The sequence below is a fragment of the Homo sapiens genome, chromosome 8 (genome assembly GCF_000001405.40).
Source record: "Homo sapiens chromosome 8, GRCh38.p14 Primary Assembly".
Taxonomy (NCBI): Eukaryota; Metazoa; Chordata; class Mammalia; order Primates; family Hominidae; genus Homo; species Homo sapiens.
In genome coordinates this window covers 47675012-47699747 of record NC_000008.11, presented here as the reverse complement: position 1 = coordinate 47699747, position 24736 = coordinate 47675012, and the positions used below count along the sequence as shown (strand labels likewise).

General features: G+C 42.5%; 1 protein-coding gene across 59 annotated transcripts in view; it reads right to left on the bottom strand.

The window, feature by feature from the left end:
• The window catches only part of SPIDR (scaffold protein involved in DNA repair), a 475429-nt gene that overhangs the window by 36559 nt on the left and 414134 nt on the right, over positions 1 to 24736 (bottom strand). The gene's annotated exons all lie outside the window — the stretch shown is intronic.

Here is a 24736-nt window from a genome sequence, read left to right as displayed (position 1 = left end):
CCCTGTCTCCACTAAAAATACAAAAATTAGCCGGGCATGATGGCGGATGCCTGTAATCCCAGCTACTCGGGAGGTTGAGGCAGGAAAATCGCTTGAACCCGGGAGGCGGAGGTTGCAGTGAGCTGAGATCACATCATTGCAGTCCAGCTGGGTGACAAGAGCCAAACTCCGTCTCAAAAAAAAAAAGTTATCTGAAGTAAAATATATAGAGGGACACAAAAGGACAAACAGTTATGATTTCAGTTGTATGGTTCTCACCTTAGATCTGACTGCACTTCCGAGACCTGGCTCTAACCTTTACCTGAGCCCCTTGTTAACAGAGATGGGGAACAGCAGGGCCCCTGGAGTCAAGAAACTCATCTTGCTTAAGCTCTGCCTTTTATACACTGTGAGACCTTGAGAAAATGCTTGGACCTTGTGTCAGCCCTTCTGGGAAACTGGGGGATGCTGCTGGCATTATTGCAAGGAGTAAAGGAAGTAAAGAACGTATGTGCAGCACCTACTAAGGTTTCTACGCTCAGAGTGAGTGTCCAACACATTAGCCACTTGATGTTACTATAGTTATCAGTATTGTCATTGCTAAAGCCATAAACTTTTATGCTGTTTTTTGCTAAAAAATCTGCCCAGTTGAAGACAGGATTTTAATCCTAGTGTTACTTTGTGAAGAAACAGAGTAAAATTAAGAGCATGATAAAAGATGAGTGTAAAAAAAATTTCTTTATACAGTATAGAAAAATAAACAACCCTTTCCAGACAGTGACAGAGTGCTTATCAATTTCCCTAAAAATTTGGAGTTTCCCAAAAAGTGTTCTGCGAAGTGTAACCCATGAGAACAGAACTCCCTGTTCGGCCATTGTTGCTGTGTGGCACATCTGCGGCTGGCAGGACCCTCACATGCTACAGTGGGACTGGACATGGCAGAGGGCCTAGAGAGCCCCGTGTAAAAGGCACCTGTGACATATTGTTTTATTTTAAACTAAAGCTTCTCCCATTTATAACCATGAAACCCTTTTTGGTGTCATTACTAATAATGTCCTGAGAAACTAGCGTTCCCTTGGAATTCTGACAAATGCTGTTCTAGAAGCACACAGCCATAGGAAAGTTCTATTTGAATTTAATGACTTTTATTTAGAGGATGCTACCAGCTAATTAAAAAAGTTTAGACATATTATACATTTATTTAATGCACAATGCTTAGCTGAAGAATGGCTATGAGTTAAATAAAATGCTTAGTCTCATAAAAAATCAGCTTCTCCACTGTTTTTAAAAACTATTTTTAAAAATAGATAATGGTTTGGATGGCCACTGTTGCCTTGTGAAGCAGAGTTGTCTGGGGGCAGCTGACACATTCATTTAAATGACTCCCGCCTCTGCTGGGCATAGACTTGGTGTAGAAGCTCACTTTTGGCACAGTTAAAAAGTGTATTGTTCCTCTCACTGCAATTCATTCTTTACTATTCATTTTGTTACACAGGAAACATTCTTTTAAAAAAGTGATCCTTTAAAAATATGTTTAAGCAACAAACAGTCTGACAGGGGAGTGGCCACCATTAGTCTGTCTTTTCAAAGATTAATAAACATTTTTATTTAAAAAGTTTAAAATATAAAGTTTAATTAGAGAAAAAAGGGACATACAGATTAATTCATTATGCTTATGATTTGATAACTTAATTATGTTGGAATAAATTTCATGGGGTATACCTTAATTTATAGATTGCATAAAATGAGCCTGCAGACAAATTCAGGTCATTAATCTGTGACAACAAGTTTGTGGAGCAGACAAGGAGAGAAGCAGGGCCAGCTGTCCTACTCACCAGGTCCCTAGTCTGGCAGGCTCTGCAGCAGTCAGCAGCTCACCCAGCAGCTCCCACAAGACTGCCAGAGAGCATGGGGGGAGGTCAAGTCAGCTACCCATCAGTGAAGGGAGAGCCACGTTTCCCATCACACTCAGTCACAGTTCATCTGACCTCTAAAAATCAGCTGTATTTGAAGAGCGGCAAGAAGAAGGCTGGGGGGTGGTGCAGGACACGCGGAGAAGAAAGGAGACAGCATGGTACATGGCATAGGCAGGGAACAGGGACAGCCTGGGAGCCTCCTCTGCGCACTCACTTGGGGGCTGTGGCAGACCCACCTGCAGCACAGGCTGCAGAACACGCAGCTGCTCCTGGAGGCGGGAGGAGGGAGGCAGGAGGCCTGGCAGGAGCCCACGCGTGCTTTCCTAAAGTCACGCTCAGGAAGCTGAAAGACTTTCAGTGCTATGTTTTTATTATAGTAACCAGTGTATTTTTTAAGTGGAAAGATATCAAGATCTATACACATGTTAAAATTGTATCTACCAAGTTATACTTAAAATGGTTAAAATTGTAAATTTTATAGTATGTTATTTTACCACAATGAAAATTATATTTACCATAAAAATAAATATAAGTGTTGTTTTTATCTTTTTTCTTTCTTTTTTTTTTTTAACAGGGTCTCTCGCTCTGTCATCCAGGCTGGAGTGGAGCAATCATGGCTCACTGAGGCCAACCCTACGGCTGTTTTCAAGTCTTCCACACTCTTTAAAGGAAGGCCACCCCGACATGTCACGAGTCAATGAAATGTAAGAGGCACTTTCTGAGAACATGTTCTCACTTATAAAAAAGCCCTTGGAGACACCCCTCAAGAGAGATAGAGTAAGGATGGGGGCACCACATCACTTACATCTCATGAGGGCCCCATGGAGAGACTGAGACTGGGCTGTACTGGAGATGAGGGCCACGCGGAAGGAGTCCTGCCAACTCACGTCCTCCAGGGCTGAGCCTGCACACTCCAACCCCATGATGCTGCAGGTGATGTGCATTTGCTCAGAGGAAAGCTGGCTGCAGACTTGGGGATAGAAAGGACACTGTCCACCTTCCACGGCAGAAATTCTGAATCTCTCTCAGCTTCATCTTCCTCCCTTGTAGGATTCTGTGATTCTCTAATTCCTAGTGCTGCTGCTATCCCTCGCTGACATGTGCCTCTGTTTGAGGAGGAAAGACAGTTCCAAAGTCTCCAGTGCTAGGTGTGGGTGCTGAAGCAGACACCTTTCTATGAGAGTGTGGCAGCATGGGGCGCTAGAAACAACCAGCCATCTGTGATAAGTGCCTTCTGCAGGCTGACAGGTGAGCTTGGCTGACTGAAGACTTTTTGTGTTACAAAGTGCTCTCTGGTGCAAAGCAGAATTGCACCTGAACATTTCCAATCTATTTGTAAAGAAAAATTTACAAAGACAGAGCCATTAACTTTAATTTTAAAAACATTTCCAAATTTGCTGTTTTAGTAATTACCAGATCCTTGAGAGAGAAAAAAATACTCTAAACATTATAAAGGGTTAGGAATAAACAAATGGAGATATTTATACGGAGCAAAGTTAACTTCTTAGAATGAAAAAAAACCAATTTTCTTGTCTGAATTTTGTTGTTGGTAACATATTTTGGAAGCTGTCAAAATCTAAGTAGAAAACAAATCACAAAGGAAGAGAACCAACTTGAGACCATCTTCAGAAAAAAATTACAAATTCAGTTCAAGAGTCGGAAGTGATGTCAAAGGACAGATGTTTCTCCTTAGTAAACAAACTAGAGCTGAGGTTTCCCATCGTGCGACAAGAAAGGTGCATGGAAATGAGTAAGGTGCAGATAACTTTAACTGGGTGCCTCCATTTCCTGAATTCCTAAAAAGGCAGCCCCAGCATCACTCATGAGCTCAGAAGTGAGGATGGGGCAAGTCCTGGGGCAATAGAAATCAGCTGCGGACCAAGAAGAGAGTGGGAGTGGCACCACGCCCAAGAGGAGTCTCAGAAATATACAATAGATGAAGGAAGCAGGGTTCCCACCTCACTGCCATTGAAACAATGCTAAATTTACATATTTTTACACACATTTTATGGATATTTTGGTGTAGCAAATGATCTACCTCCTCTGGCCTCATTATAGCTGGTGTTATTTATCTTGATTGGTAGATGACAAATGTCATTTGGAAAACCAACCATTCAAAGTAAGGGCAACCAAGATTTCCACTCTCCAGTCCACTGGAAGAAAGTAAACATGGAAAGTCTTCTTTGCACACCGGAACATTAGCTGATATTACCAGCTTGCTTGCCTATTCTCTTAGTTATTTCAGGGCTTATTTTTTCCATCTGATACTGTCTCATCCAACTAACTCTCAAATCTTCACAGGACAATTTAAAACTGCCTGAACCACTTTCTTTTGGGTGTGGATAGAGTGGAATTTGCTCTAGGAGATTTAAGCCACAATGGTGCTGTGGACAACAGAAAACGGGAAGATAACAAGGAAGCACCTGGCCCATGATGGACTCACCCTCAGAGAGCTTGGAATCATTTTTTTTTTAACCAAGCATGTATTCTGGGTATAAAATGTTCTTAAAATTTGTCATGTTGCTGCTAATTTCTCTGTACCTGTTACTGCTGTAGGACTCATACCTCTCCAAGAGAGTTCATTTGGATAGTGGAATACTTTAGACTAGTCATTCTTAAAGTGGGGTCTGGGGGTCGCTGGAGGTTCCGAGAGCCTTTCAGGCAGCCTACAAGGCCAAAACTGTTTTCTGCCAAGTCTTTATTTTTCTTTCTCACTTCCATTCTCTCATGAGTGTACAGTGGTGTTTTCTAGAGGCCCATGATGTGTGATATTACAACAGACTGAAGGCAGAGCACAGATGATAATCCATCATCTCCTGTTCAACCAGTGAAGAGACCTGCAAAACACAGGGCAATGTGACTCTCATTGCTAAATATGTTTTTGTGTTTTAGGAAATATTTTTCATAAAAAATGTTATTTAGGTTGTCATCTAATAGGTTGATTATAGATGCTTTTAGGTAAATTAATGTGTTAAATCTTTTTCAGTTTTAATTTCTAATAAGGTGAATACTGATTAACTCATATTTTTTTTTAAAAAAACCTCTTTGGGCCCTCATTTTTTATATTACACACATACACACACCCCAAATATATATATTTTTTGGAGATAGAGTCTTGCTCTGTCACCCAGGCTGGAGTGCAGTGGTGTGACCTCCTAGGCTCAAGCAATCCTCTGGCCTTAGCCTCCCAAGTAGCTGGGACTACAGGTGTGCACCACCATTCCTGGCTAATTTTTAAAATTTTTCGTACAGGATGGGGTTTCACTATGTTTCCCAGACTGGTCTCCAATGTTTGGCCTCAAGTGATCCTCCTGCCTTGGCCTCCCAAAGTGCTAGGATTACAGGTGTGAGCCATCATGCCTGGCCAGTCCTCATTCATTTTTATTTTTTTCTTTCCTCCCCGCTTATCTTTTACATGGTCATGTTCTTTAGATTGTCTCCCCTCTCTCAGTCTGTCTCCCTTTCCTGCCCACTGCTGGCCACACACTACACATCTTCCCCCACACAGCAGGGTCTCTACGTGCCAGAGACAACAGACTTTTCAGACATATCTGGTAGGCTGTATTTTAAGATATAATTTCAGTGCAGTCTAAGAAACAATTTCCTATTTGTTGCTGAATCATTATTAATAGTGTCCAATAAACTTAGATAGGAATCCTATTTTGAGTTACAAAGGTAAATTCCCATTCATTGTAAAATTAGGTCAATGCATGTGGGTTATTTATAAATAATGTAACACTTCCTATAACTCCATTCTTTCCTGTGGCTCCACACTCGACATAAAAATAGTAGTTTTAGGAGCAGGCCAACCTGCAGTGTTGAGAAAGACCTGTGGAGACTGAGGAAGTCTCTCTGGACCGGAAAGGAGCTCTTCATGTGGCTCCTGGGGCTAGGGCCATGCTCCCACACTCCCACCCTGGAGGACCACCTCTGAGAAGGGCTCTTAGCGCTGCTGTGGCTCCCACTGCATGAATGTCACATCAGTGCCAAAGAGAACAGCAAAGGCCGAGCAGTCTTGAAGAGGCAATTCCTGTAAGAATCACTGTTGGGTTCTGTACAAGGACATAGGTGAGAAGAGGCACAGAGGTCACCCCTGATGCCACTCTGAGGCGCCTCTGCCCCACCTCACCCTGTGTTCCGGGGCTGGTCACCACCGAGATCCTCTGGCTTAGTTAGTGCTGCCTGTTTTGTGTCCTCACGAGAATGTGAACCTCCTGAGGGCAGGCTCTATGTGTCTGTTCTCTGTGGAATCCCAGTGCCTAGATGACAGACTGGTGCCTGGGAGGCGCATAACGCTGGCATGGCACGAGGCCATGGATCTGGCATACTAGCTAGCAGGGCCGGCAGGACTCTTCAATCCCACCGGCCAGTACTGCACAGTAAGGACACATGGCATTTCAGCAATGCCGGCACCTGTCACATATCACAAGTGTCCCTCAACGCTTCAGTATGAGAATTTTTCATGAGCCCTGATTTCTTCTGTAAGAAACCCATGGCTTCTGATACATTTCTTTAACCTAAATTCACTTGTTCATTTCATTCATTTAATATTAAACTCTAGGCTAGTTGGTGACACAGTTTAGGTATATAATTAAGGAGTAAAAATAATGCCTTCCAGAAGATAGCTTATCTACTTTTATGTCACCCTTATACACACAAAAAAACAATACTTGAGTGAATTAAACTTTTGCCTTCATACTGAAATGGATTTCCTCCAACAAGATTTGTTCTGCTAGGCAGACAGCAACAAATAGCCCAAGAGATCATGAACAAACTGGTAGGAGCCATGGAAACCTTAAGACTCTAACAAGATTAGAATAGCAGTGATTAAAATGTACCATTAGGCTGGTGGGATGGTAAAATGAGGCCATCGCTCTGGAAAGCTGCGTGGCAGCAATCCAGCCATTCATCTCCTTGCTGTCTATCCAAGAGAACTGAGAACTGACATCCACACAGAAACTTGCATATGAATGTTTGCAGCAGGATTATTCAAGGTACCCAGAAAGTAGAAACAACCCAAATGTCCATCAACTGTTGAATGGATAAATAAATTTGATGTATCTATGTCATGAAATATTATTCAGCCATAAAAAGAATGAAATTCTGGCCGGGTGTGGTGGCTCACACCTGTAATCCCAGCACTTTGGGAGGATGAGGCAGGTCGGTCACCGGAGGTCAGGAGTTCGAATTAGCTGGGTGTGGTGGCATGCACCTGTAATCCCAGCTACTCTGGAGGCTGAGGCAGGAGAATCGCTTGAACCCAGGAGGCAGAGGTTGCAGTGAGCCAAGATCGCACCATTGCACTCCAGCCTGGGCAACAAGCAAGAAACTCAGTCTCAAAGAAAAAAAAAAAAAAAAAAAAAAAGGAAATTCTGATACATGTTACATCATGGATGGACCTTAAAAACATTCTGCTAAAGTGAAAGACACCAAAGGTCACATCTGTATGGTTCCACTGACAGGAAACGTCCAGAACGGGCAAATCCACAGAGACGGAAAGCAGAGGAGTGGCTGCTGGGGGAGAGAAAGTGCGGAGCTCCTGCTGAAGGTACAAGGTTTCTTTCTGAGGTGATGAAAATGTGCCAGAATTAGGGTGCTGGTTGCACAACTTTGTGAGTAAAATAAAAACCAATGATTCGTACACTTTAAAAAGGGTAAATTTTTAGTATGTAAATTACATCTCAGTCAAGCTATTACTTAAAAAGTGTCATTAACTTAAGACAGGGGCCACTAATCAGGAGACCACTAAACCTGACCTGAAATACTTCCATTGCTATACTTTCTTGAACTCTGCTTAATGATTTTCCTACGAACATTATCTTTCTTCTGTCCTCAAAGCCCCCATTCAAAACTAATCTCAAAGCTTCCAGGAAATGAAAAACTGGGGACTTCTGCAATAAAAGAGTAGTGCTGCTATCTTCACTGGAAAGCTGACACAGAGCCCAGGAGCAGCACAGGGTTGGGAGCGAGCCCAGTGGCTTCAGCACTCTACTTTTGGAGTGGTTGCGCTTCCTTTTCCTAAGTCAAGCTAGCGGAATACTAATTCCATGTAACCCCCGGTGTGCCCATCGGTCCTGCTAAGCCACAGGAGCGGGTCTTGAGCACCAGACAGGACAGCCCTGCACTGTGGCTCTTCAGAGGACAGAGACAGCACCTGTGCTGGGCCAAGGGTTTGTGGCAGCACAAGAGAACATGGCTTAGAATACAAAGAAAAATACTTCCTTGGGTTTCCACAACTATATAAAACTGTGGCCATGTGAATTTCATACTTAAACCCTCTTCTATGACATAAGATATTGCAGAACAGTAAAATGCACACCATAAAGCAGTATTTCAGTAATACTTCTGGTGTGTCCTGGAGCAGCCCTTCAACCACCGTGGTGGGACAGCCAGGAAGGGAAACTGATCAGGCATTCTGACTCCAGAGATTGATCTCCGCTAAGAATAGCCTATGAATACCGTATAGATGTGGGAACTTACGAAACATTTCCAAAGCAAGTTCACTGAATTTCAGGAAGATATTTTTCTTTTTCTTTTCTCTCTTTTTTTTTTTTTTTTTTTTGAGACGGAGTCTTGCTCTGTTGTCCAAGCTGAAGTGCACTGGTGCAATCTTGGCTCACCACAACCTCCGCCTCCTAGGTTTAAGTGATTCTCGTGTTTCGGGCTCCCAGTAGCTGGGATTACAGGCGTGCACCACCATGCAGGGCTAATTTTTGTATTTTTAGTAGAGATGGGGTTTTGCCATGTTGCTCAGGATGGACTCAAACTCCTGACCTCAAGCAATCTGCTCTCCTCGGCCTCCAAAAGTGCTGGGATTACAGGCATGAGCCACTGCACCCAGCCAGCAAGATATTTTTCAGATTGTAGCTAGTTGGAGAAACTGAAAGAAGGAAATTAAAACACACATCTGAAATTAAGCCCTTTGCACTATTCCTTTGAATCTCTGCTTAAATTTATATAATTATATAAGATAAATTTGTAACTCTGGAATGTCTCACATTTTACAGGACATCTGCTAGTTTTATTTATTTTTTGAGATGGAATCTCGCCTTGTCACCCAGGCTGGAGTGCAATGGTGCGATCTTGGCTCACTGCAACCTCCGCCTCCTGGGTTCAAGTGATTGTCCTGCCTCAGCGTCCAAAGCAGCTGCAACTACAGGCGCATGCCACCATGCCTGGTTAATTTTTGTATTTTTAGTAGAGATGGAGTTTCTCCATGTTGGCAAGGCTGGTCTTGAACTTTTGGCCTCAAGTGATGTGCCCACCTCAGCCTCCGCAAGTGCTGGGATTCCAGGCGTGAGCCACCGTGCCCAGCCTGCTAGTTTTATTTAAAAATGTCTTTTGTTAAAGACAGGGCATTAAAAATAATATATGTATATAAATTATATAAAAATAATATAATAATATATAAAGAAAAAATCCTCCTAATCAACTCTTGACTCAAGATTGGGGACATAAAATTATCAAGTAGTATAATTTAGTAACTTTGTAAAAAAAAATGTTCTTTACACACTTCTGTTCTACTTCATTGGGAAATTACACACACAGGCGCACGTGCACGCGCACCCCTCACCCCCCCCACACACTCTCTCAACTTCACAGGAAATGAAGAGCTCCTGAAACATGTTGCTATCTGTAACTCTGCAAACAGTTCTCTCTTCTGTCCTGGTGGTACTTATTATTCCAAAAGCCTCACATGATCCACTCGCTCACCAGCGTGGAGGTGGAAAAACCCACACTACCACACAAAATCTGTCAGCCCATATCTCTTATAGACACGTGTAAGTTTTTTTTTTTAACCAAATATTATAAGTGTGCTCTGATACTTAACAAAAATGCTTGTCTCCTTACAATTCATCTTATTATCTTGAATTCACACATCAAGTAGCCTCCCCTCATATAATGTTTCAAAGACTGAAACTGTTGAGTCCTATTAAAATAATTTACATTGACGTGCCAAATAATGAAGAAGAAAACAACAAAATACCCTTTATCAAGCGACCAGGCTTCAACCTGATCAGTAAGCAGCCTGCAGTGTGCCACGGCTGGCCTTGGGGAGGGGTGGGACACCGGCATTGGAGTGTGCCTCATCAGAGCTCCCATGCCACCCCCAGTCACGGAGAGTTGCAGACGAGAAGGGGCTGTGGCTTATGTCACAGTCAGACATCTGGTGTGGACTCTGTTCTACCCATGCCTCCTCTGCAAGGTACCCAGTACCATGAAGCTAGGCTATGCTTCAAGCTGCCAGAATGGATGCAGAATTTGCTTGGGAGCCATGTGAAAGTGAGCTTTAACCCCACTTTCCTACTTTCCAGTTGTATGGCATAGAGTAAAATCTTTATTCCTGATGAGCTTCAAGCTCCTCATCTGTGAAGTGGGTAAAATAATATCTGCTTCTGAGACTTATTTTGAAGATCACACAAAACGGACCTAATTGGCCTGCGATAAACGGTAGCTCTTGACTTTTACACTTCACTGTTTCCCTTGGTACTCAAGTTAATCTCATTTTACCTGAAGGAGACACAGACCCATAGCCTCTGCTGGGAGTGTTCTGGTTAAAGGTAAGCCAACCAACCCGGGAGAGCTATGGGTCCAGAAGCCATTTCAAAAACACTTGATGCTTCCTGCGGCCCTGCCTGGGGGTCATGAAAACAAGTCCAGTTACATACTCTGGCCAGGCAGTCCCACTTTGGGAATGCTATCCGCTCCCCCTCCAAAAATTGGTACTTCTGCCGATAAAAAGACAAGCCACCTACAACACATAAATTATACACAACCAATGAAGGACTACTACTCAGAATATATAAAGCTCAACACCCCAAAAGAAAAATAAACAAAAGACTTGAACAGCACTTCATCAAAGTGGAAACACAAATGGAAATACACAGCAAAAGGCTCTCAGCCTCAGCGGTAATCAGGAACTGGAATTTAAACCACAGTGAATTCCACTACAGATCTACCAGTTTGAAAAAAATGCAGGCCAGAAAAAAGATAATGAAAAAGACACCTAAGTGTACCAAATAATGGAAAGACAGCAGAGCAGCAGGAACTCTACTATGCTAACAGAAATGGAGGCTGAACTCCGCTCCTGGAAGACAGTTTAGCACTATCCATTGAAGGTGAGGAACACCCCACCCCCACGATGTGCACACCTGTGCCCTAGGGGATACACAGCAAGGGCTCCTGCCGCTGCCAGCAGTGGTCGGAAATGCCTAGAACAACTGCATGAACAAAGAGACTATGGTAAATGCATAAAATGGAATGAAAACGAATAAACCGGAGCTACCTGCAATAGACAGAAGAAACTTACAAGGTTTATTGGTTTAAAACTATGTTGTTTCCGTCCTCTTTTGTAAGGGTCCCCCACACCAGGGTCCTTTTGTGTGCAGCTGGGGCCGCGGCATCTCTAGTGAGCAAAAAAAGCAAAACACGGCCGGGCGTGGTGGCTCACGCCTGTAATCCCAGCACTTTGGGAGGCCGAGGCGGGCGGATCTCGAGGTCAGGAGATCGAGACCATCCTGACTAACACAGTAAAAGCCCGTCTCTACTGAACATACAAAAACTTAGCCGGGCATGGTGGCGGGCGCCTGTAGTCCCAGCTACTAGGGAGACTAAGAATGGTGTGAATCCAGGAGGCGGGGCTTGCAGTGAGCCAAGATTGCACCACTGCACTCCAGCCTGGGCAACAGAGAGAGACTCCGTCTCAAAAAATAAATAAATAAAATAAAATAAAAAGCAAAACACAAAGAATGCACAAGCATGATGCTGTTTCCATAAAGTTCAAAAACAGGTAAACCTATACGCATGCACACACACACACACACACACACACACACTTTTTTTTTTTGACAGCCAGGTCTCAATCTGTCACCCAGTGATTCTCCCATCTCAGCCTCCCAAGTAGCTAGGACTACAAGTGTGCACCACCACACTCGGCTAATTTTTTACTTTTTGTAGAGATAAGGCCTCACTATGTTGCCCAGGCTGGTCTCAAACTCCTGGCCTCAAGTGATCCTTCTGTCTTGGCCTCCCGAAGTGCTGGAATTACAGGCGTGAGCCACTGTGCCCAGCCTAAATATATTTCTAAAGATGTACAAAAAGTAGTATAACTGTAAAGAAAAACATGGAAACACTCTCAGAAGTGTGAAGATCTTTAGGATCAGGGTAGGGGCAGCAGGTGGCTTCTGGATACCCACCATGTTTATTGAATTACAGTGGTGGCTTAATGAGTGAGCTTTATTTATTCACTTATTATTTGTTACAATCTACAATTATGCCCTCTTTCATATGCTTGTTATATTTCACAGTAAAGAAGGTTAAAATATAAGCTCAATACATACAGGAGATACAGACAGAGATATACAAGGAAGTGTGTTGCAGCACTGCTTTGAAGTGGTAAACACCAGAAACAACCTGAATGTCTATCAGGAGAGGGACATCCTGGTGAAATTAAGTGAAAAACGCAAACCATATCTTTTTGTTTATAGATATGTCTACATTCGTGGAGAAAGATGTGAAAGATTACTTACCGGGGTAAATATCCAGTGGGTAAAAGGTAAAAGAGAGATTATTAAATTGTTGTTATAATTTATGTTAATTCTGTTAACAGCAACAACCAACAAAACAGTGGCTATATTATTATCACATTTATGGATCATACTGAAAGTCCTAATCTGAGGCCTTTTACAAATGTATGGTCCAGGTTCAATGGCTTCATCACAACCCACTCCGTTGTTGGTGGCTTGAGAAAGAGAAGTAAATTATCTTGCTTTTATTTAACAGTAATGAAAACTACTAAAAGTAATGATATTAAAAGTAATGGTAAAAACTGCAATTACTTTTGCACTAACCTTTTTTAAAAGCTAATTATTTTTGTTAATAAGTATCTAAGTAAACTTTGAAAAAAAAAAAGAACCCTAACTAAACCAAAAGCAGGCAGTGTAATTATTTACTATGGATTTAATACTCCTAGTTACTCAAGACAATCCTACTATAGATAGTTTATTGCTGTTGTTTAACAAAAACAGTGGAAAATACCAAGAATCTAAATTAATATCAACATCACTGACAAGAAATAATCAGATTTTTATTTTGAGGGCCAGGGGTTATAAATATAAAACAAATGAGAAATTTATAGAAATGAATTCCCCTAAAACTGGAAGTAATTAAATGTCAGCTGTAGTACTGAAAATCAGACTTTGGAATTTGGTGCACCTGTCTTAAGACCCAGCTCACATACAGGGATCCAAATTACTTAATGTCAGTGAACTTCAGGGTCTTATCTAAAAAATAAATACCATGATCTAATTTATTAGCTAGTTTGAAGGTAAAATGAAAAAATAGAGTGACTCTAGTGACACTCAAGCTTTCTTTTCTTTCCACTTTCAGCATCCCGTATTAACAGAGATTTTCTTGGCAAATTATAAAGATTTAAGTATTTTTTCCAAAATTCAAATCTGTAAGATTTTCCAATTTTGAGAATTCAGCTAATAATAGCATATTTAAAGTAAATATTTGGATTTTTTATTTGAGATTAATACAGGAACATTTCTATTCTGCTTCTGAATCATACTGCTACCCAGTGTCCCCATGGTAGCAACTACTGCCGCAAGCTATTAACCCGAGAGGAAGAAAGAAGAACTATGGAACATGTGAAATGTTTATATGGGCAATTAATCCACAACAGATGCTTTCAGACTATGCTGCTGGACTCCTAAGGAGCTGGGTGGGGAGCCATGGTGGCCCAACTCATCCACCTTCCAGAACAAACAACTTCACATAATTTGTTTTATAAGCTTCCCCTTCCCCTTCCCTTCTCTCTCCTCCTTGCTTCCTTCCTTCCCTCCCTCCCTTTCCTTGTGTATAGACAGGTCTCGAGATGTTGCCGAGGCTGGTCTTGAACTCCTGCACCCAAGTGATCCTCTTGCCTTGGCCTCCCAAAGTGCTGGGATTACAGGTATGAGCCATCGTGCCTGAACAGATTTCTATTAAAGAAAAACAGGGCCAGGTACGGTGGCTCACACCTGTAATCCCAGCACTTTGGGAGGCCGAGGTGGGCAAATCATGAGGTCAAGAGATTGAGACCATACTGGCAACATGGTGAAACCCCGTCTCTACTAAAAATACAAAAATTAGCTGGGCATGGTGGTGTGCACCTGTAGTCCCAGCTATTCGGGAGGTTGAGACAGGAGAATCGCTTGAACCTGGGAGGTGGAGGTTGCAGTGAGCAGAGATTAAAAAAAAAGAAAGAAAAACAAAAACTGAAAGTCTTAAAACCACTGATCTCTGCCAATGCACTCCAGCCTGGGCGACAGAGAGAGACTGTCTCAAAAAAATAAATAAATAAATAAATAAATAAATAAATAAATAAATAAAACCACTGACCTCCTACTGGTAGATAATTATAATTTCTGTGGTAAGAAGGACAGTGAAGGGTAGGGTGGGGGAAATATTTTTAAGAGAAGAAATGATTTAAAAAAAGAATAAAACAAAACCCTGCCCATTTACTGAATTCTAGACTTACTGTGCTGCAAGGTAAATTAACTAGTTAAATTACTAACCTGGAGGGATAAGTGGTATTTGTTTTTATGCTGTCATATCAGCTGATCTTCCATTTGTTTTTTGTTTGTTTGTTTGTTTTTTGAGACGGAGTTTTGCTCTTGTTGCCCAGGCTGGAGTGCAATGGCATGATTGGCTCACTGCAACCTCTGCCTCCAGGGTTCAAGCGATTCTCCGGCCTCAGCCTCCCAAATAGCTGGGATTACAGGCATCTGCCACCACGCCCGGCTATATTTTCAGTAGAGACAGGGTTTCACCATGTTGGCCAGGCTGGTCTCGAACCTCTGACCTCAGGTGATCCACCTGCCTCAGCCTCTCAAAGTGCTGGGATTACAGGTGTAATGGGCGCCCGGCCCATTTGGTTTCTTTTATCCCTGTTTTAACTAGATCTCTCTGTACAAATCCCACTGGCTTAATTTCCATTCCTTCCCATTATTGGGTAATTGACAATGCCTAGCAATGTCCAACTGGATGATTTATATTCTTCCTTGGGAAAAACATGGAACACTTTCAAACTGTATCATTTTTCTAAATTACTTCTGATTTCTTTCCTCTACCCATTTTGTTTGTAAAAACAAGACAACAAAGTCTTGGGTCAGTGCTGGCTGGATTTCTACTTTTTCAATTAAGTAGAAAGAGAAAGTCTGAGGAAGAAGGGAAAAGCAACTTCTTACATGGTGGTTTACATTGCACAAGGTACTTCTATGAATGTGATCTCATTAAATCCTCCTAACAACTTTTGGAAGTAGATTTATCCTTGTTGATAACTAAGGATGGGATTAGTACCAATCAACCAGCAAATTTAAAAACCAATGTATTAACCAAGACATATGGATTCTAAAGCCAGAGCTGTGAATCAGTGCTGAATCACAGCTTCTCCCCTCAGTGATCAGGATGCTCCTAGAAGTTTTTGTTGTTGTTGTTTTAACCAGCAAGTCCCCTTGAGTAAGCTTGGCCCTCACAGTCAAATAATTCAGAGCTAACTCGGTTATACTGTGTTCCTTGGTTATGTGGGAGTAGGTAGTGGAGTGAGGGAGGAAGAATAAAGTCACTTTTGAGAACACTTCTAAAAAATTTGTTTTTATAGCCAAGAAAAAATTTTAACAGTTTGTTAGGTTCAGATTTCATCATTTATTAATCAGGTTTTTTTTTTTTTTTTTTTTTTTTTGAGACAGAGTCTTGTTCTGTCACCCAGGCTGGAGTGCAGTGGTGTGATCTTGGCTCACTGCAACCTCTGCTTCCTGGGTTCAAGTAATTCTCCCTGCCTCAGCCTACTGAGTAGCTGGGAGTACAGGCACGTGCCTCTATGCCAAGCTAATTTTTTGCATTTTTAGTATAGACGGGGTTTCATCATGTTACCCAGGATGGTCTCGATCTCCTGACCTCGTGATCCACCCGCCTCAGCCACCCAAAGTGCTGGAATTACAGGTGTGAGCCACCATGCCCGGCCAAATTGGGTTTTTATTGAACACTGTGCTAACTGCTACAGAAGATACAAAAATAACACTTGGCCCTGAACAACAGCCTATTTTTGGTCAAAAGATGGTCTGACCAAAGTTGAGTATCCCTAATCTGAAATTCAAAACCTTTTGTGCACTGATGTGACACTCAAAGGAAATGCTCTTTGGAGTATTTTGGATTTCATATTTTCCCATTAGGGATGCTCAACCAGTAAGTATAATGCACATATTTCAAAATTCATAAAAATCAGAAATTTGAAACACTCCTAGTCCTAAGCATTTCAGAAAAGGGATGCTCAACTTGTACTGGGAAAATAAGTTTATGGGTAGAGGGTAAGGTCATTTTACTCTGAGCGCTTTCCCACGGGCCTCTGCCTAGAAACTAGAACCTATGAGTCCCAGCCAAAGGGCTCCTCCCCTGCTGAACAAAGAAGATGAGGGGGATGTTCACCCACTACAGCAAAAGTGTTATTAACCTGCTGCTCTCTGGAGTGTAAATGCCTTGAGGGCAGGAGCTATGACTTCACAAGCCCATGCTAAGGTGCTGTTTGCTGAAAGAATAAGTGAAGCCATAGCAACATACAGAAGACTGTAGTCAAAGCAGAACTTTTATCTAATTGACAATAATGTGAGCTTATTTTTGTTGAGTAGTGGTAAATATAGTCTAAAAGTTTTAAATAGTTTTAGCTTCAGTAGTAGAAGGGTAGGTACTCAGGGCAGGAATGCTGGGAATTGTTAATGCTTAGCCTACACAGTTCAAACAGAATCTCTCAGACGGTTTGTGGTTCTCATTCATCCTCCTTCCTGTGATCAAACAGATGGGTGTTCCAAGCCTGATCACAGTCCCTTGTCTTCCCTTTGCATGCTTTAATCACTCTTGATTTTCACTCTCATTGATAGTGAAAGTAGATTACATACAGTAGATATAAAATCAGGTTTCTTATCTTAAGGATAAGAGATCTTCCACTGAAAGACAAAAGTGATGGCTGGTTTAGAGGGGTGCCCATTTTAATAAACAAATCCGTGTTCTTATTTCCCCAAAATACCCTTACTGGCCAAGGTTAATAACTGGCATTTCCTCCTTTTTGAGCCCCTATTCCTTATGTTATACCTTTTTGATAAATGTGGAATTATGCCCAGAAGTTCCATTGAGAAACTATTATTTTCCAACTGAACTTATGAAATAGTTGTAGTTATTTTCATAACAGCATAAGCACTTTCTAGACATTCAGTTTTCTTTTTTAAACTTGAGGTAAAATTAATATAACATAAAATTATACTAAGAAAATAACTAAAGGAAATTAAAACCTCATGAAATTAGTCATGTTAAAGTATGCAATTCAGTGGTATTTAGTACATTCAGAATGTTGTGCACACACTACCTCTATTAAATTGCAGAATATTTCCATATCCCAAAGTAGACCCCAACCCCATTAGCAGTCACTCCCACTTCCTCTCCTCTCAGGCCCTGGCAGCCCATCTGCTGTCTCCATAGATTTGCCTGGTCTGGACATTTCACAATACGGGAGTCACAAGGCATGAGACCTTTTGTGTCTGGGTTTTTTTTTTTTTTTTTTTTTGGACTTAGCATCATGTTTTTGAGGTCCTTCCATGTTGTAGCATGCTCCTTTTAGTTAGTTCACTTTGGACGTAATAAAAACCTCTTTTATGGCCCATTTCATGTCTTCTCTTAAAGATGTTTCCTTCCTTTACTTCCAGTTCTCTCTGTTTGCATTGGGGTGATGTTTTAGGACAACGACCACCTTGGTTTAATTGTATCACTTTTGAATTTTATTATTGGTGCTATATCCCATATTCTTCTGGTCTAAGCACATAAATTCCTCCTTTTTTCCCTCCTTAATTAAATCACTGAAGATTCATGACTGTTTAGCTGCTAATTAAAATGAAGAAACTAAAACTTGGAAGTATAATATTGCTCAGGTTGCTGTATTTCTACACACTCCTTTATTATTCTAATGAGAAAATAAGTCTTTGTAAATTAAAGATTCAACTTTTCAACTTCTGATTTTCTTCATTGTTCTTATGCAAAATACACATTATCAAAATTATTTTAAGCAGATTATTAAGATAAAGACTCCTTGTATAAGAATCAATTAATGTGTTCATAGTAAAGCAACCAAATATATAAGGAAGTGAAGAAACAGTTGAAGCCTTAGAGAGTTATAAATTCTAATAATGATTTGTGTGACTTGGGACTAAGACCTTAGATTTAAAAAATATGTTTCCTTTAAAATAAGTCACGATCTCTATTAATCTTGGATTAGACTCACTAGTAAAAATAATTGTCAGTTTACAGTAACAATAAAGACACTCAGAAATAAAGCGATTAAACAAAAATCAGGAAAACAGACTTCATCTTCCTAAAATGTAACCAATCCAAAGAAAATGTTTTGTAGAGCTTACTGTACCTTCTAAAATGCTCTATGTTAAAAAAAAAATCGCAATCCGGATGCTTAGAATGCATTATTTTAGCAGAAGATCTTACAAAGAGATACTTTACAATAGTTAAATATTGGCCCAAAAAACCCCAGTCTTAAAGGACAATAAAATTAAATTTTGACTTAAAATACTAGTGGGAGGTAACATTTGGCAGAAAGAAAAAAACTATAGGGAAAACACAAAACATACTCCTAAACTGATGAAGGGCTTGAAGTAACAGCATGCTGCTCAGGTAGAAGGTGTCTACTGTTGCTGCTCTGAGCAGTCCTGGTCTCAAGATTCGCATTCTCTCTCTCTCTCTTTTTGTTTTTTGAGATGGAGTCTTGCTCTTTCGTCCAGGCTGGAGCGCAATGGCGTGATCTCGGCTCACTGCAACCTCCGCCTCCCGGTTCAAGTGATTCGCCTACCTCTGCCTCCTGAGTAGCTGGGATTAGAGGTGCATGCCACTATGTGGCACGCCTGCCTGGCTAGAAACTCCTGACCTCAGGTGATCTGCCTCTCGGCCTCCCAAAGTGCTGGGATTACAGGTGTGAGCCATTGAGCCCAGCCCAGCACTCTATCTTAAGTGGTACTTTATTCTCCTTTCAGAAACTTCGGTGAAGTCACCAGGAACAATTTTATTTTTCAAAATCATGAAAGAATTCTTAGAAATGTCCTTTGAAGCAGGGTTTCTAAGCATAGCAATTAAGAAAGAGATTCTGGACCTCAAACCCCAAGGGAAGTGTGTGGCTTTTTAAAAGGGTGGCCTTTTTGAAGAAGGAAAATCAAAGGAAGTAAATTACTATTGAAGTTTCTTACCCACGGAGAGCTCTTACCACTACATATTTCCTGTTAAAGGAGCCTCTGAAATGATTCTCCAATACATAACCCGGCCCAGTAAACTTGTGTGGAATGATTCCTAAGGGTTCCCTCTCCAGCACTTTGGTGTACCCCAGTCTCACTCAGCTGGATGGAACGTGATGGGCTCTGCGGGAGACTGAAGGCCCCAGCATCCTGCCCAGTCACAGCTGGGCTGGCTGGTGGACCCTGGGCCAGTCACCCCACCTCTATCTCAGGCCCTCTTCTGTAAGACTGGGTGGACATTGAGCTTCCTCCTCTGTAATTGACTTTTGTGAAGACTAAAAGGAAAAGGGAAAGTGCAATGCATACAACTTTTTTTCCTGTGAAAAATTCATAATGAACACTCACACTCTTGCCATCCGTGATAAAGTGCTTTCACCACATGCCCATGTTCACTTTCCCTTAAATTAGTGAGGACACCGAGGGTCTGTGTCCAGAGGCACATGGCTAGCGTGGTTGTCACCTGCACCGCACACAGACTCTGTCACCTGCACCGCATACAGTAATGGGTCGCCACCCTTACTGCTAAAATTGAGCTCCAATAATTATGAAGTATAAACACACATTTAAATCTTGCTGACAAAAGTTCTAAGATTAACCCAAGAAAACACCTAATGTGCATCCCACAAATACAAATTATTTGCTTATCATGTGTCAGAAATTCTGCTATCTACAGAAAATATAACGGTAAATGAGAAACAGCACCTGCCCTGAGGGAGCCTACCAACCAGCAGGCAACTGTGAAATATGGCGGCTGGGCATGCAATTGACACACCTTCACTGACTGTCTATGTGCAGACACCCTACAAGGAACAGTTGTAATGATGATGAAGCCATCATAGGTCCATTAGACTTGGAGCCCAGTGGCGCAGCACATGGCACAGGCCAGCACTGGAGGGGATGGAGGCAGGCGGGCACATGGCACAGGCCAGCACTGGAGGGGATGGAGGCAGGCGGGCACATGGCACAGGCCAGCACTGGAGGGGATGGGGGAAGTGGGCACCTGGCACAGGCCAGCACTGGAAGGGGTGGGGGGAGGTAGGCACCTGACACAGGCCAGCACAGGAGCGGATGGGGGCAGGTGGGCACCTGGCACAGGCCAGCACTGGAGGGGGCGGGGGAAGGTGGGGACCTGGCACAGGCCAGCACTGGAGGGGATGGGGAAGGCAGGCACGTGCCATGGGCCAGCACTGGAGAGCAGCCCTTGTATGATGCATCTATGATGCACTGGAGGGCTCCTCATATGAATGGCATGATGTTCTCATATTATTCATCAAAAAAGGGGCACACTCAAACCTATACCAGTGACACTGCTCACTGACATTAAAACATGCGTCTGTGTTGGGCCACAGGCTAGCAGACATCCCACACAGCCCTAGGCACAGGCACCAGAGTGAGCTGCAAGGTTACCTCCATGGTGCCAGAGGGCACCCTGGTGGTGGTTGCAGCAGGAGGCAAGGGAGGCAGTGCTGGGCCCTTAATGAGGGTGCAGCATGAGACTGGCCTGTGAGGGAAAAGGGGGTTAAATAAAGCCTGGGAAACTAGTGCAGAGGCTAGCAGGGCAGTGGGCTGGGAATCCCACTGGGGGCTACAAAGGAACTTTCTATCCTGACTCAGATGGTTATTTTTCTGAGCATGTTGACTGAGCTTGGCTTCTGATATAAAGCTTATCACCACTTAATCTGCTGCCGTAAAAATCAAATTTGGTGTTTAGACAATAGCTTCTCAATTGGCTCATTCTCTGAAATGCACTTCCTCCCCTCACCTTTTCATGGAAACTGACCAGGGCAGTGGTCCTCGCCTTGCCTCACTCCCCAGGGGATGAAATGGCTGTGTGGGCCTGGGAGCTTGTTCTCCCTTCCATTTTAGCCCTTAGCCCATGCCTTTCCTGTTCTCTCCAGAGCTCCTACATCTTACCCCACCCTCTGCACCCCCTCCAAAGTGGGTGCTCTGAGCCTCCGCTCTCTGTGTGGGTGCTTGCTAGGTGGTGCTGCATCACCAGCTATCCTTCTGAGTCTCCCCTTGGCTTCCATGCTGCTCTGAGTGTGGAGGAAGTGAGCTGTTTTGTGCTCCTGGCATGTGCCACAGCTCCTGAGAGCTCCCTATGTACCACTTCTCTGTTCCCCTTCCTTCAGCTGTGGGAAAAGTTTCCAGCCTTGTGGCCCTATCCCAATCTCTCCCTCAATTTCCCATCTATTGCAGGTACAGGAGTAGACAGTCTTACTCCATTTTTGTGTTTATGACCTCTTCTCTTCTTCACTCAAAAACTCATATCGACCCTCATTTCTCTGGAACCAATGCAAAATCCCTAATAATAGGATTTAGGCTTTATCTAGCAGACTTTATACCTCAGTATATTCTGGTTTGTGATAAATCCCCCAAATCTGGCACACAGCTCAATGCCATGGCAACTAGCTGGGAGCATAGTACAAACAGGGACTAAATAATATTTACTGAATAAGTGAGAGAATTAACTTTTTCTTTTTTTTTTTTTTTGAGGTGGAGGTCTCACTATGTTGCCCTGGCTGGTCTCGAACTCCTGAGCTCAAGCGATCTGCCCGTCTTGGCATCCCAAAGTGCTAGGTTACAGGCAAGAGCCACTGCACCCAGTCATAATCTCTCTTGAATAAACCCTCTTACTTCCCCTTTTGCATCTCTCTCTCTAAATCCTACATTTGTCTCCACAGATAACATCTCACCAATTTAGAGACACTTTTCTTTCTGCTAGATCAAGATGTTTAAAGCATTTGTTCTCACTTCTTTCATGAAACCTTCTGAGATCAGTCAGCTAAGATCTAGTTAATTGAATCATCAACTACTCTAATACTTCTGCCTGTCCTGTTTTGGGTTGAAAGGGACACAATTCAAGGTCAAAGACCATGTCAGTTGCTTCCTTTGTCATTCTCAACACTCAGACAGCACCCTCTGTAGACACTGAGTATTGACAAAATGCTCTTCAGTAAGAGCTTCTCCAGTACACTACTGTAAAACGGCCCTTCAAGAGGCCTACAGAAAATAGTACCTATAAATTAATAATATATTTTGGACTCTGTGGTTGTTTTAACAAGTTGGGAAATAAATACCAGATTTTTGAACTGAAAGAGGTCTCCTTTCCCCACTCCCCACAAAATAATTTGTTAGCTATAGTTTCTATACCTATGATAGGTTAACATATTTCAGGGAATTTCTTTTCTTTTTCTCAGTATTGCCCTGGCAAATACAAATAAAAGCATATAATAAACAGCAACAAAAAATGAAGTTCACACACAGAATTATGACACCAAAGCCACGTGACTTCTCAGCTTGTTTGGCCTACTAAAGTGCCGCACAGGCCACTTGGGAGGACAGAGGTCGGTGGTCGGGGGCAGGTTGGGGGGTGGCCCTTAGTAGAGAGTCATTGAGGAATAGCAGGTGTGCCCCGGAGAGGAAGGAAGCACAGGCCATGCTGCATGTTCTGCGGTGAGCATACATCAGACTGGCACTGTTGTGAAAACTGTACAGTTTTTAAACCGAAGCTCAGGCTGTTTTTCTGACTCTTCTTCCTCTGACCAGTCGACATAGACACTCAAATCCAAAAAATTAGTCCGTCAGAGAAACAAAAGCTATGATGCTGTTTTTCTGCGAGCCTCTGGACCAAAGCAGGTGGCTGGAGCGGTGCTCCCTGCATAGGCATCTGGCAGCATGTGTGCCTGCCTGGTGGCTCTGTGATCACAAGTTCCCTGCAACACAGCCATTCAACAGCGGGTAGGGCTGAGTGATATTTCATCACCAGAACTGTGGATCAGATGAAATTTAGATCTGGTAGGCCAGATCTAAGAGGCTCTGTGACTTAGCCCAAACATACAACTATCTTCCAATTGGGAAAAGGTTATTTTCGGTATTAGATACTGAAATTATAAAATTAATCATTTTAGCTTGAATTTGGGGAAGTATATTTTGTTAAGGTTTATGAGAAGCATATTTTGTTAAAGTTTACGAGAATTGCTATGAAACACAATAATTTGGAAAAAAAAAAAGAGAGAGAATGTTGTGTTTACTGGGCCATGGATGGATGATGTCACTAATAAGCAATTATAACATCCCACATTCCAAAACTATTTAATAATTTGTTTTGAAGAAATATAGCTTCCAAAAGAACAAGAACACAATCTAAACATTTATTTGGATGTTTTGCATGGCAAAATATAATTAAATATATAAAATAATCTCAACCTAAAAAAGCATCAAATATTAGTCACCAACTTTAACAAGGAAGGAGGTTCAAAAGTTTATCAGTAAATGAATTTGTTGGAATACTCAATGCATTTCCCATGGCAAAAACATTTCCCATGTAAATGTTACAGACGGTTAGGCTTCTAGTGCCAACCACAAAAACTAGATTAAATGTTAGGTACATGTATGGCTATAAAGAAGAATGGTGAAAGAACAGGACCTTTAGAGAGACAAAGATTCCCAGGTCCTGTCTGGCTGTGTCCTTCCCCAGCAGTATTTCTGTAAGATGCTACGTCCTGCAGTCTCCAGCCAGAACAGCTGCCTCTGGCCTGGAGCACAGCTGGAACATCCTGTGGCGGGAGCCCCCTCGTGTCCTTGCCAGGCTCAGGTGGGTGGCAGCCGAGTGAAAGAGCCCTCCCCTCTAAACGACCCTGATGGTTACCATAACTACACTTAGTCTTCAGATGCTTGTGAGTCTGAAATGTTTACAATGAATATTCTTTTCTTTTTGAGATAGAGTGTCGCTCTGTCACCCAGGCTGGAGTGCAGTGGTGCAATCTCAGCTCACTGCAACCTCTGCCTCGAGGTTTCAAGCAATTCTCATGCCTCAGCCTAAGTAGCTGGGACTACAGGCATGTGCCACCATGCCCAGCTAATTTTTATTTTTTATTTTTAGTAGAGATAGGGTTTTGACATGTTGGCTAGGCTGGTCTCAAACTCCTGGCCTCAAGTGATCAGCCTGCCTTGGCTTCCCAAAGTGTGAGGAGCCACCGTGCCTGGCCTACAATGAATATTCTAATGAGGACTAAAATGAGGTTCAGTCTTAATAAGGGTAAGACTCATGTGACCCAACCAAGCTTTTCTCGTATCTAGACATGCTTTCCAAATATCTGGATGAACTGCATTCCCCAAATACATAATGCAATTAAATTATAATATAGCTGCCTGTTTACAAACAAGAGGAAGTATTTATTATAAAACATAGCTGGCCGGGCGTGGTAGCTCACGCCTGTAATCCCAGCACTTTGGGAGGCTGAGGTGGGTGGATCACCTGAGGTCAGGAGTTTGAGACCAGCCTGACCAACATGGTGAAACCCTGTCTCTACTAAATACAGAAAATTAGCTGGGCGTAGTGGCGCATGCCTGTAATTCCAGCTACTTGGGAGGCTGAGGCAGGAGAATCGCTTGAATCTGGGAGGCAGAGGTTGCAGTGAGCCAAGACGGCGCCATTGCACTCCAGCCTGGGTAACAAGAGCGAAACTCTGTCTCAAAAACAAAATAAAACAAGACAAAACAAAAAACAAAAAAACC